Genomic DNA, 20,210 nt, shown 5'->3' with positions numbered 1-20,210 from the left:
ATTGGAAATCAGGGTTTTTTTGGACACTCACATCACAATTCTTTTTTTTTTTTTTTTGAGACGGAGTCTCGCTCTGCCGCCCAGGCTGGAGTGCAGTGGCGCGATTTTGGCTCACTGCAAGCTCCGCTTCTCGGGTTCACGTCATTCTCCTGCCTCAGCCTCCCGAGTAGCTGGGACTATAGGCGCCCGCCACCGCGCCCAGCTAATTTTCTGTAATTTTTTTTTTTAATTTTTTAAGATGGAGTCTCCCTCTTCGCCCAGGCTGGAGTGCAGTGGCGCAATCTCGGCTCACTGCAAGCTCCGCTTCCCGGGTTCACGCCATTCTCCTGCCTCAGCCTCCCGAGTTGCTGGGACTACAGGCGCCCGCCACCACACCCCGCTAATTTTTTGTATTTTTAGTAGAGACGGGGTTTCACCGTGTTAGCCAGGATGGTCTCCATCTCCTCACCTAGTGATCCGCCCACCTTGGCCTCCCAAAGTGCTGTGATTACAGGCATGAGCCACCGCGCCCGGCCTCACAATTCTTATTATCCTTTCTCCTTTAGAATTACAGAATCACAAAAACCCTAGAAGTCATCCGGAAGGGAAGAAGAGAATGCGAAAGAACAGAAGAGTATAATGTTCAACATGCAGGGAAAAAAATAACAATACATATTTCAGAAATAGGAGCAGCTTCAGTGCAGGCAGTATCATGGCAGCCACTCCACGGGAGGAACGGGATCCTCTGCCAACCTTGTCAGCCACTCCAACTAAGCAGCTGCTGCACCAGGTGTGTTGCTGCTGTCTTTCTAAGGGTTCAAGAACATGGGCTCTGGGGTCATATGGCCTGCGTTCACATTCCAGCTCCATTCATAGCCTGCATGACCTTTAGCACATGTCTTGGCTTCTCTGCCTCAATTTCCCCATCTGTAAAATAGAAATAAATATAACATCAATCTCATCAAATTGTTGAGAAGATTAAATTGCATAAAGCACAGAAAACATATCATAGTGAATGAGAGATAGTAAGTATCCAATAAATGTAGGCTAGTATTGCATTTCTTTTCATTTCTACAACAGCCCTATGAAGTAATGATCATCCTCTTCATTTACAGAAGAGGATACAGAGTTAAGGAGGCCATATCAGCCTCCTAGTTTCACTAAACTAGTTTGAATTCCATATAGTACCTGAGTCCCAGAAATATCTGGCTCCAAATTAATGCCCTTTCCCCCATACCACACTGTTTCTCCACACTCCCAGGGCACTCAATGAGAAAAATGCTGACTTAACTTAGTGCAAATGGTCAATCAATAGTATTTGGCTGAAGGCCAGGGCAGTGGTTCACTCCTGTAATCCCAGCACTTGGGTTAGTGGATCCCTTGAACCCAGAAGTTCAAGACCAGCCTAGGCAACATGGCGAAACCCTGTGTCTACAAAATTACAAAAAAAATTAGCCAGGCATAGTGGCACGTGCCTATAGTCCCAGCTACTCAGGAGGCTGAGGTGGGAGGATCACTTGAGCTCAGGAGGTAGAGGCTGCAGTAAGCCTGATCACACCACTGCATTCCAGCCTGGGCGACAGAGTGAGACCTTGTCTCAAAAAAACTTATTTTAATAGCATTTCAATGAACAGCTATCATTCTACATGTCTGAAAGACATGGGATATTCTGGGATACTCTTCCCAGAATATACAACTTAATACTAGATGGTAACATTCTTGGATTATGTACAGTCAATCTTAAGCATTCGATGACTCCTTTAAAGACACTTGTCTTTAAAATTTGTGTATAATCCCACTAAATTAGTAGTTCTTAAATTTTATTGAGTCTTGGACCCCTTGGTGAATCAGATCAAAGAAAAGAACACTTTCCCCAGGCAGAAAAAAATGCACATATACATACTCCCAAAATATGTATACAATTTCAGTGGGTTCAGAGACTTGAGAAGTTCATGCAATCCAGGTGAGCAATCCCCCATTCTAATGAGCCTGGAGATCTGGAATGCTGTTCCATTTACAAGGATGCCCTTTCTATATGGCTATTATCACCCTGCTTGGCCTCTGCTTTGTTTCTTTTTGATTTTTCTCTTCTTTCCTGTTCTCTTTCCTTTTACCTCTCTTACTATTCCTTTCTCAACTCTCCACCCACTCCTACCTTGGCAATCAGACAGCGCCACTATCGGAATCTCCTCTCCCTTCCCCTTCCTCCCCTCTGTATCCTTCCTGACCAGCTGATTCCGGAGAGGAATCCGATAACTTATCAATAGGCATAGGTTGCTCCATAGGAATTTTGGCCAGCCTGGGAAACAGTCTTTCTTTGAAGGATAGCAGATCAGAACTTCTGGCTCCATTAAGAAGTCATTTCTCCTAATTCTCCAGTAAATACAACCACTTTCCATTAAATATATGCAGATTCACTATATCCTGTTTTCAAGGAAACATTCGCTAAGTTAACAATTCTGGTATAGATATCTGTGAACTCATTTGTTCTTTTATATCTGTGACTTTTTTTCTGGTACCCATCAGCTTAGTAGTTAAGTACTCAGAAAAACATATATTGGACACATAAAGCCTCATATAAGCAACCTGTGCATTAAAATGTGTCTGTCTCCATTAGGTTTCTTGTTTGCCTACAATGTGCAAGTGAATTGCATTTATATCTGTTTTTTTAAATAAGCTTTTAAAAACTCATGCAATCATTTGGAATCCTTGGCCAACTATAATATATATATATATATATATATAACTGCCTAGAGTTGCCTAATATGAAAATGTGGTTAAGCAATTGTAAGAATGAAAAGCTTCAAACTGAAATGAAATGTAAAATCATAAACTACAATATTGAAATGAAATCTTGTTTAAAAGATTTGTCTTAGAGTTTGACTTTGGATGCATTTTGTACCTCTAGAATATTCCATCATCAAGAAATCTGAAAAGTCAGTATTTTCATTTCCTAGCAAATCAAAATGTTTCGTCTAAGCCCAATAATTTTCTTGAAGGATGCTTTCCAAGAGAATTGTCCTCTGTATTTTTCATATGAAAGTTTCTGCAAAAACCAACTATGTTTTTAATAAGGTAAATTCACAACCATAAATGTGCCTTAGATTATTATGGGACATTTTGTAAACTGCCAGGCATATGAAATTAAAGGAGAGAGACAAATGCTTTATATATGAGCATTACATATTTACTTCACAGTTTTTAAACTATTTCATAGTAACTTCATCAGCATTTCCACTTACTATAATGATCATTTAAGATTTTGTTATGGTGAAGCCATTCACTGAATTGAAACACTATTTTTGTAATTTGGAAAGAAAAACTGTATAAAATGAATAGCATTGGCAAATGTTTCTAATCATTTCCTTAAAATACTAAACCACCAATCTTTTTATTTACTGCATTTTGCTTAAGTGCATAAATCAAAGGACAATAACAAGCCTAATGTCAAAGAAACTTTTTGACACTTCATACATTTGAGCAAGCTTAGCCGATAAACAGTTTAGATGAAGTTATGGTTTGAAATATGTTTCCCAAGAGGACTGTGGTTCATAAATTGCTATCAGGCTACCTCTGTCATTATTGATTTGAGAGGTACTCAAGGTACCCCCAGCTATTAACTAAGGCTAGCATTACCTGACCTGCTTTTCAGAGAATGATATTTGGTTTTACAAAGACAAGTAACCATCCATCCTATAAGAAACATGTAGTTTGCTTGTCATCGGGCACAAAATATATTGCATTCTATTTGAAATGTTGACCAACAATTAAAAGACGAGGCAACATAATCTTAAACAGGCTTCCAACCATCTTCATAATCCTAAAAGGAATTAAATCAGTTCCTTTTGTATAACAGCTGTACTGGGAAAAGCTAGAAGAATGAGAGCATTTTTTTTAAAAAATGCATCAAACAATAGAAATTTGCATCTCAGCATTTTGCAATTATATGATTATTTATTACACCTGTGCTCTTAAATATTCTTTGCAGATATGTGTTTTTGATAAGCTTATTAAAAATACACCCACAGGCAAATCAAATATTAGTCCCATAATGTGTGTATGTTTATTTCTTTACCTGCCTGCAAAAACTAGCTTGCCGGTGCTCCTCATTGAGAGCTGAGTATGGAACAGTTTACTCTCCAACCCTGCACCATGCCCTCTGCCTTGTGGATTTGGGAAATGTCAGGAAAGATCAGAGCAAGGATCCTGCTACTTTTTTATTCAGATCCTCTGGTCTTAACCTTCAAGGAAACATTTAAAAGTTAGTTATGACTTGATCGTTCTGCATTAGGTTTGTCATCAGTGACCCCGCTTTACAAAAGCACAGAACCAAAGAGTTTCAGGAACAGACTTGATGAGTGTCATCAGCCGCTAGAGATGTGATAAATTTATGAATTTTATCAGTCTTGCTTTTAAAAGTCCTGGTAAATTAAACAGTCAGAGGTGGAGGTTTCCTGCGAGCCCTCTTAATCATGTGAGTGGCTGCGTGACAGCATGTTCCAGGAGAGCTACACAAATAAAAACTCGACCGCATCACTTTCACACAAAGAAATAAGCCAAACATAAAGGAAAATGTTTAGTATTCTTATTTTAAAAACAAAACAAAACAAAAAACTATCTCCCTGGAACTTATGATTTGAAGCCCTTTGGATAACTCATTCAAGGAAATATTGCTTGAACTACTGTCTGCTACCCTTTTGGTAAACTTTCTTAATGCTCCCATAGTAACCTTTGCTAATTTTGCACAACCATCTATTCAGCTATCTGAACAAGAAAATGGGTTTTGCCAAAGCTAACTGAAATTCACCTCAGCTATGACCTTTGTCTAGCATGGCTTAGGAGTCAGAAGTCCTAAGAAGAGCAAAGATCATCTTTCTCATTCATAATTTACAGTGCTACATGGCACAGAACTTGTAGAAACAGAGCAGATGCTGGTGAGCAATTAATGGGCTCTCCAGATCACGATCAGAGGCTTCACTCGCCCACCCCTTGCACCCCAAAGTAAAAACAAAACTAGTTTGTTTCGAACCCATTTTAAATATGAAATACCAGGTCTCTTCCATAGTTTGTTGTTATTGCTAATTAAAACAGACTCTGTAATTCCAAAATACCGTTATTTTTGTTTTTTTTAGGTTATAAACCATAGAACTCCTCTTTCCTAAGGACCTTGGGAAACTTCCACAGAATTGGTTTACTCCTCTAAAAAGTATCTAAAAATGCACAGGGCATTTTACTCTGATAAAACACTTCTGACACGTAACTATTAACCTCTGAGCAAAGGGTCTCCATCTACTTTTTCTCTTGACCTCGTCTCCCACAATCCTTTGCGGTAGTTCTGGCCTCACTTCAAAGACGGCCGGGCCGGAGGGGCTGCACTTATTCTATTTCCTTCTTCCTCCCCCACTTCTTCCCTTTGCCTCTAATTTTATTTTCTTCACTTTCCTCTTACAAGTTTCTTGCCTTTGGTAGAAAAATGTCTAATCTCTCTGTCTTCCCACAGCTTTAACAGTTTGCCTGACCATGTGCCTAGCTCTTTTATTTCCTTTCTTGGAGGGAAGGTCCAGCTCTGGCCTGTGGGGGTTTAAAAATGACAAACTTGGTCTTGACTTTGGAGCTCTCTATTTTCACTTGGAATGATAATATTTTTGGCAAATTAAAGGAAACTTAACCTCAAAATACTAGGTAAGTTAGGTCATTATACCCAAAACACAGGTTCTTTGGATGAAAAAAAGAAAGAGCTGGAAAGCCGTCCTTCCACTATGGAAGATAACAGGCCTACCGAGGCTGTGGAATTTGTTCAGAGCCACGAGGCTGTTTGTGACAGAGGCAGAAACCACTTCTTTAGCCCAGCACTTTCCATTTTGACACCAGGATTTCCCTGTGTTTTGAAGAGACTAACTCTTTGCCTTGGGTGATAGTTGCTAGAGGAACAATGCCCCCCACCTGTCTTTTGAGGACTGGAAGGATATAGAGGAGGGGGGTTCTGCCTTCCTAAATCCACTCAGAGGCGAGGCACTTTGGAGTATACTGTCTACTTTGACATCACACTTCTTTCTGTTCCTTTTCTCCTTCATCTTGAGAAAAAAAAAAAAAACATAATCAAACAACTACACAAAAGATTAAACATATTTGTGACCTGAGTCCATGAGTGAGAAAAAAATAAAAATAAATAAACACATAAGATTAAACTTATTAAAAGATTAACTTCAGGATCGTCGAGGTTTCCAGCACTTATAGAAGACTGAACTCTTGTAGTCCATGTTTTTCACTTTACATGTGAGGAAACTGGGCCTCAGGTTAGTTATTTGGTGTTAGGAAAGAAGCTGGGAGCAGAAGGCCAGGTTTACGACTCTCTTTCTACTCACATATAATGGAGAATCTGAATATTACTCTACATTACTAGTAATACATTTAATTTACTGTGTTTGTGTGAATCTCACCTAATTACTTTTGTATTTCAAGGATCTATGACACATAAAAACCAGGATGTCTCATAAATTTACGTTCAATCATTTAATTACTCCTAAAATCTTTTATAATTACAACTTTTCATGCAATGCCTCCAACGGTTTCACATATCAAATATCAAATTTATCAGTCTTCTGGGCAATGTCCTAAACATGCAAAATTTTTTCTGTGCTGTATTTTAAGGAAAATTGCCACCTTAGCTTTTTAACTTGTTTTTTTCCTGTGTTAGCCATAAAGGCAATACTGATTTAGTTTTATTTTAAGAAATTTTCTGATACATGGTTTCTGCTAAAGATTGAATTTTTAAGGAAAACAACTTGTCTTGTACTCATGTTTGTTTTCACCTTGGAGAACAAAGTCCCACAAGTCAAAGTTTATAGTCAATCAAAAAAGGGCACATTACTTTCCCATTTTAATGGTAGAACAGGGACCTTTAACTTTCCTGGAGGCTTTGCTTTGGGGTTTACACAGAGCAGAACTTCCTTAACGCTAATAATCAGACCCACAGGACACGTGTTAATTGTTCCCAACATGTAAAACTATCTACAGTATCTCAGCTAATAACAGCATTGCAAACATTTCAGTTTTGAAAAGCACAGTATCGAAACCAATTACATGCCTGTTGATTTACTTCTCCCCACCTTCCCAAAACATTAGAATTGCTCATTCCAATAATGTCAAAGTTCAGATTCCCAAATGGCAGCACAAATTCTGAAAATACAGAATCGAGTTACAGTATGTGCCATCACTGGCTGATTTAGAGATGACTGCCAAAAGCAAATACATTTGGGCAAATTGTATTTGTTAGATCCTACAGAAGTGTATAGTTGATATGGCTTCCCAATAGCTATTAGAATAGCTTCAAATAAAACATTATTTAAAGGTTGCATCACCCTACAACTGGTTCCTGTTGGTCGCCTTGATAATTCAGGGTAAAATGTTGACTTTTATTTATACCCAGGCTTTGAAATTTGTTGCATCAATGAAAATTCTTGTTTGCAAGAAATAGAAAACTACTCTGATTATCATAAGGAAAAAAAAGGTGGAAGAAGTATTGAATGGGGGTATATGGAGTCTTGCAGAAATGATGGGAGGCTGGAGGCCCAGGCTGGGAAAATATCTAGGAACCCAGGGTTCCCACAGAGCTGGGAGCCAGGCAGGCTATGCTGGCCGGCCCAATTCCACTGCAACAGCGAGCCCTCCATCCATCCACTACGCTCTTATTCCTTCCTCAAGATTCAAAGTCCGAAAGACAGTGGCTGGTGCTCCAAATCTAAATAACATGGACATCCCAGGGAAGGGAGAGGGAGGATCTGGCCTATAAATGTGCTAGTTTTATTTGTTGTTTTAAAAAAGCCTTTGAATTGGGGAAATAATTTTCTATTTCTGACAAAGTCCACTTTGAGCTTCAGAAATGAAATGCCTTGGATGGAAAACAAAGTAGATCTGCCTCACACCAATGTCTTTGCTGCAATAAGGAAGGTCATAAAATAATTCCTGGGTTTTACTTAACTCCAATCATAGAGAGAGATGTGGCTATAACAGGGACCAGAATAATCTATCCTGGGATCTTTGACCCTCATGCCAGAAAACAAGATTTGACCATTTCTCAACAAAAAAGAATATAGTATTTTAAATTGAATTCCAACGTTTGATCTTTTTCATTTTTTACCTTAGGTGATCCCCGTAAACTTATAGTTTCATTTTCTTTGTATAACACATAAAATGTAAAAGTATTATTTGCATATAAACATTTCACTAAATGAGGACAAAAATGCAATTTGACATAGAATTATACTCTTGGTGATATCTTTACCATCTGAATAAAATAAAATCAACTTTTTAAAGGTCAAAATGCTGATTATTTATGCATCCATAGGCATTACGTTTTTATTAAAAAGTGGAACTATTCTGTGCCTGCTGTGTTATAATCTATTTTTAAACACAATAATATATTTTGAAATATTATTATTCCAATAAATATTCATTTCCACCTCAAAAAGGTCAAACTAATATTTCATTGCATATGTGCTTACTAAAGTCCAGATACTTCCCTTTACATTTTTTTAAAGGGTTTATACTAAAAATATTGCTACATCTGAGCACATTTTCATGAGATTCTAATTCTTCACTTAGGGGAAATAAACAGTGAGAGCTTGTAATCAGGTTTACTTCCTTACAGAATTGTTTCCCATAAAAGATAATAATAATAATATAGAAAGATGATGCATCTTAGTAGATGATAAAACATTAAATCCTTAATAAATATTAACTAATTAAATGAATAATATTCACATATACATAACATTAACCATGCCAAGCACTGTTCTCATCACTTTACATATGTTACTTCATTTAATTTACAACAGCCCAATGAACTAGACATTGTTTCCATATCCATTTCATTGATGAGAAAGCCAAACAGTAGAATAGTTAAGTAACTTGTCAAAGATTTCATAGCTGATGTAAGAAGTCTGGTTTTAGATCTATGTTATTCATAGCAAGTTATTGTTTTGTGGCTAAGAGTTTTTCAAGAAAGGTAATGGAAGCTCTTTATTAATGTAATTTAAAGACAAATTATGTAATCATTGGGATCATTGAAACAATCTTCCACCTGCACCAAAGTTTGGATCTAAAGGTATTACAATTTCATCCCACATATTACAGCCCATAAATCTGGAATAAAGGACCCCTTTCCAAGAAAAGATATATTTAGAAAACTGTCCCCAAAGTAATTATACATTCCTTATACCACAACCTAGTTGCAGTTAATACTCCCATATTATACTTGTCAAGATATGACCTGAGGGTTTTGCAGAGGTTGCGCCATACAACACAATGTTACAGATACATAAATAAATAAGCATAATTTGATGCCATAGGGTGTCACGTGTACTTTTAGTGGCCTGAAAGAATAAAGTAATTTAGAGAGACATCTAATTTACACCCAGGAAATAGCTTAATGAGCGCAGGAACCCAATGCCTGATGGTGCATTGGATTGTATATTAAAGTGCCAGTGTAGGAGGTTTCAAACAGCCAATCTTTGTGACAAGAAATGAGTGTGTTTTGAGAAGTGGACTGAACAGCATTCAAGAGTACAGCAGTTACTAAAAGGGTTTCCAGACACACGAGAGTTATTGGACCCTGTTACAAACTCTAACTTCTGCCATCAGTTACTGCTTTCATTTGTACCATGAAGCCTACATCATTGCAACTGGAACAAAAATGATGTTTACATTTTACCAGTGTTTTATTTTCAATTAAACATCTCAGCTGCTATTTACATAGTTGAATGGCATGGCATTTATACCATGCAATCTGATGTTAATTCTTTGTAAATATTTCTCCAGCAAGAGACCTAAGTTCAAACTAGTTGTGAAAATGTCACTAAAAGTAAAATAAACTCTAATTTAATCTTGATCACAAATTATTGTTAAATGAAAGCTAAAAACCTGTAAAAATTTTAAATGGAAGTCTAAAGGAATTAACTGAGATGCTCATGTCCCAGGAAGTGACTTGCTTTTAGACTGCCTGAGTCCTTGAGGACTTAGGTTGACTTAACTCCACTGAGGGGAAGTTAAAGGCAGGAGACAAAGAAGCTGCCAAGATCATGGCTGAGAAGATACAGGGAGGCTGCAGCTCTGCGCTGCACTGTCCGCTCTCAAGCCTGCAGTTCTGTTCTGAAATAGGTCACGACTGGAAGGTTTCACGTTTCTTATGCATAGTTGCTGTTCCCTGACCAGCTCCTCCATCTGAGATCATTCATCATTCATCATAGCTGGAAATCTCCACCCTATCTGCATCTGAAACTCCCAGGGCCAAGCTGGTCAGCATCCAATTCAGAATGGAAGTAAGAATGGAAGAGGGTCTGTCTAGCTTTTCTTTGCTTTCTGTCCCAAAACATTCCCTTCCCTTGTGGTGTCTTCTTATATGTTTTCATACACAAGGAGAGAAGCCTAAATAAATAAACAATGTTTTAGACTTACCTTTTTAAACATTTTCCTGTTGATTTCTTCCAATTTTCTAGATTCTGATGTAGAAATCTGAATGTACCTTATAGAAATAGGCTTTAGGGTAAGGCTTGCCTTACATATACACAGTGTAAAAGCCAATAATCACAAATATATAATTGGATTTGCGAGATTACAATCATGCAAAAAAAAAGTTATGTCCCTATAAATATTTCCACTGGCTTGGCAGATGTAAGAGGTGAAGCCATGGTTACCATCCTCCTTCCAGTAGCTCTGGAGGGGTAAAACGTCAAGCTGGTGCAGTCATTTACAACTCAGTGTGGATTCCCTTATTAGATTACTCTCCTCTGAGAATGCTAACTGCAATAAAAAGAATAAGAATTTGATGGAGAAAGGGAAAAGAAAGAATAAAAATTTGACAGACAAAGGGAAAAGGGAAGAGATCATTTTGGGCAGGAGTGAGATGATGTCAAGGAAATTCAACAATTCATCAATTTTGCTGACTTACCGAATTTGTCCTGGTTTGGAGAAAATAAGATAATCCTTCCCTTCTCTATTTAAGTAAGTACACTCAAATGCTTCCAGTAGTGATACAGGTAACATCTATTACACAGAATCAATTCTGTGTAAAACAATAGAAGGCCTATGGTAAACTAAGGAGCACAAACTTCATCACAAGAATTGCAAATTTTTAAAAAAATTATAAAACACTTTGGCTGGTCAATTAAGACCTATATGCAGCAGCTACTTTTGACCCCTAAGGTAGCAGAATCTGAGTGACATTTTATGCAAGACTAATATTATTCAGGAATTAAAATAAAACAAAGGCTGTGTGCAGTGGCTCATGCCTGTAATCCCAGCACTTTGGGAGGCTAAGGTGGATGGATCATCTGAGGTCAGGAGTTTGAGACTAGCCTGGCCAACATGGCAAAACCCCATCTCTACTAAAAGTACAAAAATTAGCTGGGCATGGTGTTGCACACCTGTGGTCCTAGCTATTCGGGAGGCTGAGGCACAAGAATCATTTGAACCAGGAAGCAGAGGTTGCAGTGAGCCAAGATCACGCCACTGCCCTCCAGCCTGGGTGACAGAGCAAGACTTAGTCTCAAAAAAAAAAAAAAAGTAAAACACAATTTAACACCTAGTGAATGCTTATTAAATTGAGAGGACCTAGGAATATCACAACCCAGGGGCAATCACTAGTCCGTTTCTCTCTAATTTTTCTACATTTTTTTGATGATGGGGATTATGGTGATGAGTTTGAAGGAGTCCCCTGTTATGCAGAATGAATTAGCAATATCTTAGGAAGACAAAGTGCCAGCTTAGACATCTGCAAACTCAGAACTAGAAAGCCAAATGTTCATCATCAGCATTCAAGTAGACACCACTTTCAATTCTTTTGTTTTCATATCTTCAAAAAGAATACAACACTTCCAGACGTCTAGTGCCTACCTCAGAGTGGCATTATAAATATTAGTCATGTTAATGCCTCACAGGTACTTTGAAGATGAAAAGGACTAGTTAGTATCAAGCCATGAAGTGGCAGCCAAGACTTCCATAACAATTACAGCAAAACAGAAAGGAGGCACCGCTGAGAAACTTGGAAGCAATACAGCCACGTATTTGTTTCTGTGCAAACCTTTTAATAATGAAAGCCTGTGAACTCCTCTTCAGATGAAAAGAGGCTCAACTGTGTCTTTAATTAGATCATCCTATTGGAGCACAATATAGTGATAAAGAAGATTTAATAAAGCATTTTGTCTTTTTATTACTTTGATTTGATGCAACATATCTGCTCATCCAAGCAAGATGTTTAACTTCAAAAGCAGTTCTGTCCACCCTCCCCCTGACCAATAAATAACTCCAAGGGGGAAAAAGAAAACAATATATTTGGACCATCCCTAAGCTGCTGAGTGATGAAAAGATTCATCATTTTTTTTCTACTGTGGACACAGGTCTTTTAATTAGTCCTTTACTTTTCTCTTACAGCTGATAGGATTGTAAGAGTTTAAATGTTGCTAGTTATTGATTAAAACGTATGGTAAAGTAATTTGGGGGAAAAAATCTAATTACTCCACACCATGGTAAGATTTCCATGTTTGACATGATCCTGGATAGGCCCATTAGACTGGGAATTTTAGGAATAAACAAAATTAAATCATAAAACTGTTGGCATAGAATTCTCCTCATCATGACAAACTGACTCTAAACATCTTTCTTGTATGTAGATCTGTAATTAGATTCAGTGTTTGAATTTAAGATTTTGGCCATGCTAAGCCTGGAAACACTAAAATAGAATATTTAGGAGGTTAAGGAATTGATTTTTGGAATTTGTTTACTTTTTTAAGGCATCTTAACAGTAACATTAGCATAGATGATTGTATTAGCTGGAGAAAACTTCAGACAAACCCATCCAAATAAGCTGGTAGACACTGAGTGAATAGACTGGAGACAGATGAGAGGGAAAAGATGGACAAACCAGAGGAAGGGAACTAAAACATTATCAGCAAGGGCAGAGGGAGAACGAGCAACCCAGTCAGTTCATTGTCTTAACTACACTAGACTTAAAGGCCAGAATTTTTGTCCTTAACAACAATGTGGCTGTATTAGTGAATCCACAGACTCTTGTGGATGCTGGCTTAAATCCTCAAGTAAGCAAAGAGAGAGAAAAAAAGAAAGAAGTCTCTCAGATGAGCCTGCAGGCCACAGTTGTTAAGTAACATAACAAAATTTCTTTTTTTTTTATTATACTTTAAGTTCTGGGGTTCGTGTGCAGAACATGCAGGTTTGTTACATAGATATACACGTGCCATGATGGTTTGCTGCACCTATCAACCTGGACATTAGGTATTTGTCCTAGTGCTCTCCCTCCCCTAGCCCCCCACCCCCCGACAGGCCCCAGTGTGTGATGTTCCCCTCCCTGTGTCCATGTGTTCTCATTGTTCACCTCCCACTTATGAGGGAGAACATGCGATGTTTGATTTTCTGTTCTCGTGACATAAACTTTCTAAGTGATTTTCTAGAACCTATTTTTTCACTACACAAACAGATTTTTTTTTAAAGAAAAGTCATTCCCAACATTCCTTTTTCCACAGGAAATCACTTGTTTCTATATTTCCCAATTTTGGGTTCCTTACTATTACCTTCATACCTTTGGAAACAAAGAGACCTCAATTCAAGCTCCACCTTTATTATTACCAGAAGCTTCAGTTTTCCTATCAGTAAAATTGGAAATAATACAACTCCATTTATATCCTCTAAGCTTGGCCTTGTACCAGCATCTTAATTCTCCTACTGGATTTTCTGCAATGATATGTATTCAAGATTGCTCTAATAAACTGCACATATCCAGGTTAAATTGCTTTTTATTATTCATAAATTTTACAAATGCAATTATCCATTTATTGGGGGCGTTTTAACTGGTTATTAGGAAATACATAGACATATCTTTAAATTGCAAATCTATACAGAATAGAATACATCATATTGAAGGACGTGGCCTGAATAGTCCTGTTTCTTGCAAGTAGGAGGGGATGAGGTCTAGAACCAAACCTACCCACTGACATTAGCTCCTAGGAGTCAAGCCTCTACTAAACTGATGGGAAGGGGGTCCTGCTGGCAGACAGAGTATGGCATCCAGCAGTAGGCTCTATGCACTGCCTTGCCCACCAGTGCCCTGGCAAGAGCAATCCCAGGCCTCCACTCAAGGAGGGCACCGAGATCAAGGCAACTTACCAAAAGAGGGGCTTGGAAAATGGGCTCTTTGTCAAGGTCTTTATGGTTACATGCAACAGAAACCAACTCAATTCAGTTTAAGCAAACAAGAGATCTTTTTGGAAGGAACTGAGGTGTCTAGTAGAACCCAGAGATCTTTCCCAAACCTGAAAAGCCATCAAGAACCCAGGCAGTGGCTGGGCGCCGTGGGTCACGCCTGTAATCTCAGCACTTTGGGAGGTCGAGGCAGGCAGATCACGAAGTCAGGAGTTTGAGACTGGCCTGATCAACATACTGAAATCCCGTCTCTACTGAAAATATAAAAATTAGCCAGGTGTGGTGGTGCACACCTGTAATCCCAGCTACTCAGAAGGCTGAGGCAGGAGAATCGCTTGAACCCGGGAGGCGAAGATTGTAGTGAGCCGAGATCACACCACTGCACTCCAGCCTGGGCAACACAGCAAGACTCCACCTCCAAAAATAAAAATAAAAGAACCCAGGCGGGTTCTCTCAATCTCTCTCTCCCTATTCTCCTCCACCTACCCGCCCCACCACACCCTGCTTTTTTTTTTTTTTTTTTTTGAGAACAGGGTCTTGCTCTGTTGCCCAGGCTTGAGTGTAGTAGCATGATCGTGGCTCACTGCAGCCTTGACCTCCTGGGCTTAAGCGATCCTCCCACCTCAGCTTCACAAGTAGCTGGTACTACAGGCATGTGCCACCATGCCCAGCTAATTTTTACGTTGTTTTTGCAGAGACAGGGTCTCACCATGTTGCCCAGGCTGATCTCAAATTCATGGGCTCAAGCAATCCTCCCATCTCAGCCTCCTAGAGTGCTGAGATTAGAGGCGTGAGCCACTGCACCTGACTCTCTCTCCCTTTCTCTCCACACCACCTTTTCCTGTGGTGAAAGATGGGTGTCCAACAGCAATTCTCATGTTTACAGCACTGAGCTATAGCCACTCGCAGACACTGATTCTGCACGTCAGTTCAAAATTGCCTGGAAGAGATTCTGAAGGCCCCTGCTTGGATCAGATGATACTAACATGTCTGCCAGAGTCCCAAGCCTGAGCTGAAGATAAAGTCTTCAGAAAAAGTAATCATTGTGAAGATCCTCAATCTAAATGTTTCAACTACAAAAAAGATCAGAAACTGGAACAAATCAGCAGCCAAAACAAAACAGTGCTGAGCCTCAGCATGTGGACATGTGACAACAGAGCTACCCGCGCATCATCTGCCTCGAGTAAAGGTGAGCTCTTAGGACTGAGCCTGAGAGATGGAAATGAGGTAACCCCAGCCATGGAGAGGGAAGGATGCAGAGTTTTAAAATTCTAACTGGCAGGCCCATGCCTAGCTCTTGGGGGATCCAGAGCAAGAATGCAAACAAAGGCCTACATGCTCAATATTTAAATATTTAAAATTCTAGGCTGGGCGCCATGGCTCACGCCTGTAATCTCAGCATTTTGGGAGGCCGAGGCAGGTAGATCACCTGAGGTCAGGAGTTCAAGACCAGCCTGGCCAACATAGTGAAACCACATCTCTACTAAAAATACAAAAATTAGCCAGGCATGGTGGCGGCCGCCTGTAGTCCCAGCCACTCAGAAGGCTGAGGCAGGAAAATCACTTGAACCTGGGAGGCGGAGCTTGCAGTGAGGCAAGATCGCACCACCGCACTCCAGCCTGGGTGACAGAGCGAGACTCTGTTTCAAAAAAAAAATTAATTAATTAAATTAAAATTAAAAATTACATTTTAAATCTAGCTTACTAACATGTTAAATAAAATGTTTTAGCCTCTGACCTTGACAAGCATACCTTCATAACAACCTGGAAGGCCAGGTTCCAATTTAGAATTATCAGACTCCTCGGAGCTCCACGTTGGAACATGGTGGCATGAGAGGGCTGGACCAAGAGCCATTCCCCTTCACCACCACCCCTGGCATTTGAAAGGGGCCTCCCACAAGTATGTGGGCACCTGTCCAACACCTCCAAGCTTTGTCCACGGCCCTCTCAAATAGCCATCCGGTGGGCCCAGGTGATGAGAGGCAGAGACCCTGGAAATGGACTAAATGGGGGAGAATTTCAGAGTTGCTGGGACCCAAAGCATGGTCTAGAGCAGGGTTTTTCAATCTCTGGACTATTTGCATTTTACACTGAATAAGTCTTTCCTGTTGAGAGGAAAGAAAGAGCTTTTCCTGTGCATTGTAGAATGTTTAGCAGCATCGCTGGCCTCTACATACTAGATGCTATAGCACCATCCAAAATTATAAAAATCAATGCTGGGCATGGTGGCTCATGCCTGTAATCCAAGGATTTTGGGAGGCTGAGGTGGGCGGATCACTTGAGGCCAGGAGTTTGAGACTAGCCTGGCCAACATGGTGAAACCCCATCTCTACTAAAAATACAAAAAAACATTAGCCAGGTGTGGTGGTGCATGCCTGTAGTCCCAGCTACTCAGGAGGCTGATGCAGGAGAATCGTTTGAACCCAGGAGGCAGAGGTTGCAGTGAGCCAAGATCATGCCACTGCATTCCAGCCTGGGCAACACAGTGTGACTCCATCTCAGAAAAAAAAAAAAAAAAAAAAAATATATATATATATATATATATATATAAATCAAAACAGTCTCCTGACATTGCCAAATGTCTCCTAGGTGGTGGAAGGATCACTGCAAACTTAGAACCACTGACCTATAAAAGAAAAGCTTGTGCTGTGAGAAGGGGCAGAGCTGCGGGAGGGCTGGGGTTGGGGGGAAGGGGTGGAGAAGGGAGCTCTCTAAAGCATGGGGACCAGAACAGCAATAACTGTGCACCAGGCTCTACGTTAACTATCTTCCCAGAAGTATTTTCTCTCATCTTCCTAGCAACTCAGCAAGGTACCTACTATTAACCCATCTTATGGATGAGGGAACTGAGGTTTACAGAAGTTAAGCAACTCGCTGAATTTTACACGTCTAGAAACTGGCAGAAGCAGTCATCAAACTTAGATCTATCAGTGCCAACTCAACCTGCACTTAACTTAATATAAGCCCAACTAGAATCTCAGATCTTGAAGTGACCTTCATAGTAAAATGACACAACTTAATTATCTGTCAGACATGGAGCAGATTCATCAATGCTCGTGAAATGGTATATGATGATGAATATAATAAAGTGTTTTCTTCTGTTTAGAAAAATATCCAAGAGATGAAAAAGGTTATTCCTGACTTTAATAGCAACACTAAAATATTTTTAATTATGTCTGAGTGGAAAAGATCTCCCCCAGTCTCTAATTCATTAGTTAATATAACTTTAACTAAAACGAGCATCTGCTTTTTTGAAACCAGTAAAGATTTTGTATGTGCCATTAGGCAAAGACTAAAGTAAGACATGTATAAATTAAGGTACATGCCTACGTTAGTAGGGCCATAGAATCACACAGCTACAGTATTTTAAGGGCAGGGAGTACGTTTTCCGTATTTCTGATCTAGCATAGTATGTGATACATAAAAAGCCCTTACAAACTTTTGTTGAATGAATGAATGGCTTTGGATTTCTCTAAATAATTTTAGTTCAAGAAATACACACTCCTCCACCCACGGGAAGATTTTGGATAATTGCCTCAACTTTTTATTTAACTTAAGCTGTGTAAAAATAATCTCTGAGAGAGGCTTGGAATGTGTCACATTTAAAAGTTTTAAAACAAATTTCGTGTTTGGTGCAGTGCAGTTCCCATGAAGCAAGGTATTCAGCAAAACTAAATAAACATGTGGCATCAGAAAGCTCAAATGCATTAATAAGTACATTTGCATGCACTGGGCCAAGGGTAATAGTACACAAGGGCAAAGGTTAAACAGTTGGAGGCCTTGGTTTAATAGCAGACCTGAACTGTTATTTAAATGTCACAAATGTCAGTGTTCATCTTCAAATGGTATTACAGTAGGATTAGTGTCCTAAGCCTTGCTCCAATTTATGGAGAATCAGGGAGAATGATTCTCGTCAACTTGGTCCAAAGCAGAAGAAGATTGATTTTCCTTTACCACTCAGTCTGCTTTTATGAGTTTTCCAGACTCTACCTTCCCAGCCTGCATCATGAATGGAAACTGCCAGATCTGCATGCAGGCCATGTGTGAGCAGTGAATCTGAAAGAGTTATGGCTCATTGAGAACCAACGAAGAAATTGCTGCCACTCTCAGCCACCTTCCCCCAGCCAGGGCTCCCTGCAATTGTCAGAACCAGCAGTGGCTTAAGCCATGGAACAGGTATAGGACCAGGCAACCCAATTCTTCCACCAATGTGCCAATGGCAGACGCCAGCAGAACCAGGGAGGGGAAAGACATCTCATGTCTCCATCATCATCATTTGTCTTTGCTCAACTAGGAAAAGGTACATGTTTCTGAGGTCAATCTTATTATTTTTTGTTTTTATTGGTTATTTTGTTATTATTAGCAATAAAAATGTGAGCACATACAATGTGCCAAGTGCAATACACACAGCCTCTTATTGCACTAAGGCTCACAGAGCTATGTGAGGTAGGTATTATTATGCCTACTTTAAACAATAAAGATGGCCAGGTGTGGTGGCTTGTATCTGTAATCCCAGCACTTTGGGAGGTCAAGGCAGGAGGATTGCTTGTGTCCAGGAGTTTGAAACCACTCTGGGCTACATAGCGAGACTCCTGTATTGACAAAAAATAAAAGTAGAAACAAATTATCCAGGCATGATGGTGTGTGCCTGTAGTCTCAGCAGGCTGAGGTGGGAAAATCTCATGAGCCCAAGACATGGAGGCTGCAGTGAGCCATGATCGTGCCACTTCCAGCCTGGGTGATGTAGCAAGACCTATCTCTGAAAAAATAAAATAAATAATAAAGATAAGACTAAAGGTCACACCACTTGGCAAGGATTCCCAGATTTCAAGCACCAGCCTCTTCATAATTATGTAAATGGAGTGACTTGCAGAGAAGGAAGAGGCAAAAAGATCTAAAGGCCCCAGAGCTTCATCCCTTAAAGTACTGCCCACCATGGACAGAAATAGGGTGATGTAGTTCAAGGGGCTGCAGCATTTGAGGTCTCAGCCTTCATTAGGACACCCCAAATGGCAGGGGAGTGCCTTTTGAGATGTTGAACAACCTCCAAATGAGAACTGTGTCTATCGTTGACATAGCCCTTTCCTCTTTGGAGTTTTGGGCATATCATATAAGTGATTTCCGAATAGAAGGTAGAGCCTTTCCAACCACAAAGAGGGCACAAGGGATGTCACAGCAGGTCATGGAGACCTTACTGTGAGCGTCTTGAGCTCTGAGGGGAATGGCAGCCCACGGGAGCAAAGAGAAGCAGCTGCTTCTCCCCTCCAGCCTTCTCCACCGTCCAGGCCTTTGAGATTTACTGTAACGTTAGAAAGGAAATGAACTGTATGATGTGCTGGGGGGTGTGAGTGTGTGGGTGGTGTGAGGAGGCTCCCAGAGAGTCCACAATAAAAATATTTGAGAAAATAGCCCCTGCATAGTAAGGAATCAGAAATGCATTTAGATCTCCAGAAAGAAAACACTCAGGATAGCCAGGCCCCTCTCCAGGAAGGCTTTTTTTTTTTTTTTTTTTTGAGGCTGTCTTGCTCTGTCGCCCAGGCTGTTGTGCAATGGCACGATCTCAGCTCACTGCAGTCTCTGCCTCCTGGGTTCAAGCGATTCTCCTGCCTCAGCCTCCTGAATAGCTGGGATTACAGGTGCCATACCGGGCTAATTTTTGTATTTTTAGTACAGACAGGGTTTCACCATGTTGGTCAGGCTGGTCTCAAACTCCTGACCTCATGATCCACCCACCTCAGCCTCCCAAAGTTCTGGGATTACAGGTGTGAGCCACCACACCTGGCTTTCAGTAAGCCTTTTTTTAAGTGTGCTCTCTATTCTTCTTTTCCTCATTTCAGTTTGATCAGATGACACTAATAAACAATCACATAAATACATGTTGTGGGGCCATATTGACAATTAATGAGATTAATGCAAAAATATGGTAAGATTGATGCCGGCTGGGTGCGGTGGCTCATGCCTGTAATCCCAGCACTTTGGGAAGCCAAGGCAGGTGGATCACTTGAGGCCAAGAGTTCGAG

At 40.0% G+C, this 20,210-nt stretch overlaps 1 long non-coding RNA gene across 2 annotated transcripts in view; it reads right to left on the bottom strand.

The window, feature by feature from the left end:
* HAND2-AS1 (HAND2 antisense RNA 1) overlaps positions 1–20,210 on the bottom strand; it is a 62,656-nt gene that overhangs the window by 7,645 nt on the left and 34,801 nt on the right. For both annotated transcript variants that reach the window (NR_136196.1, NR_136195.1), the window contains exon 4: positions 733–906. This is a non-coding gene — a long non-coding RNA (HAND2 antisense RNA 1). The remainder of the gene's footprint in view (positions 1–732; positions 907–20,210) is intronic.

This window comes from Homo sapiens, chromosome 4 (genome assembly GCF_000001405.40).
Source record: "Homo sapiens chromosome 4, GRCh38.p14 Primary Assembly".
Lineage (NCBI taxonomy): Eukaryota > Metazoa > Chordata > Mammalia > Primates > Hominidae > Homo > Homo sapiens.
This window is presented reverse-complemented; position numbering and strand designations above follow the sequence as displayed.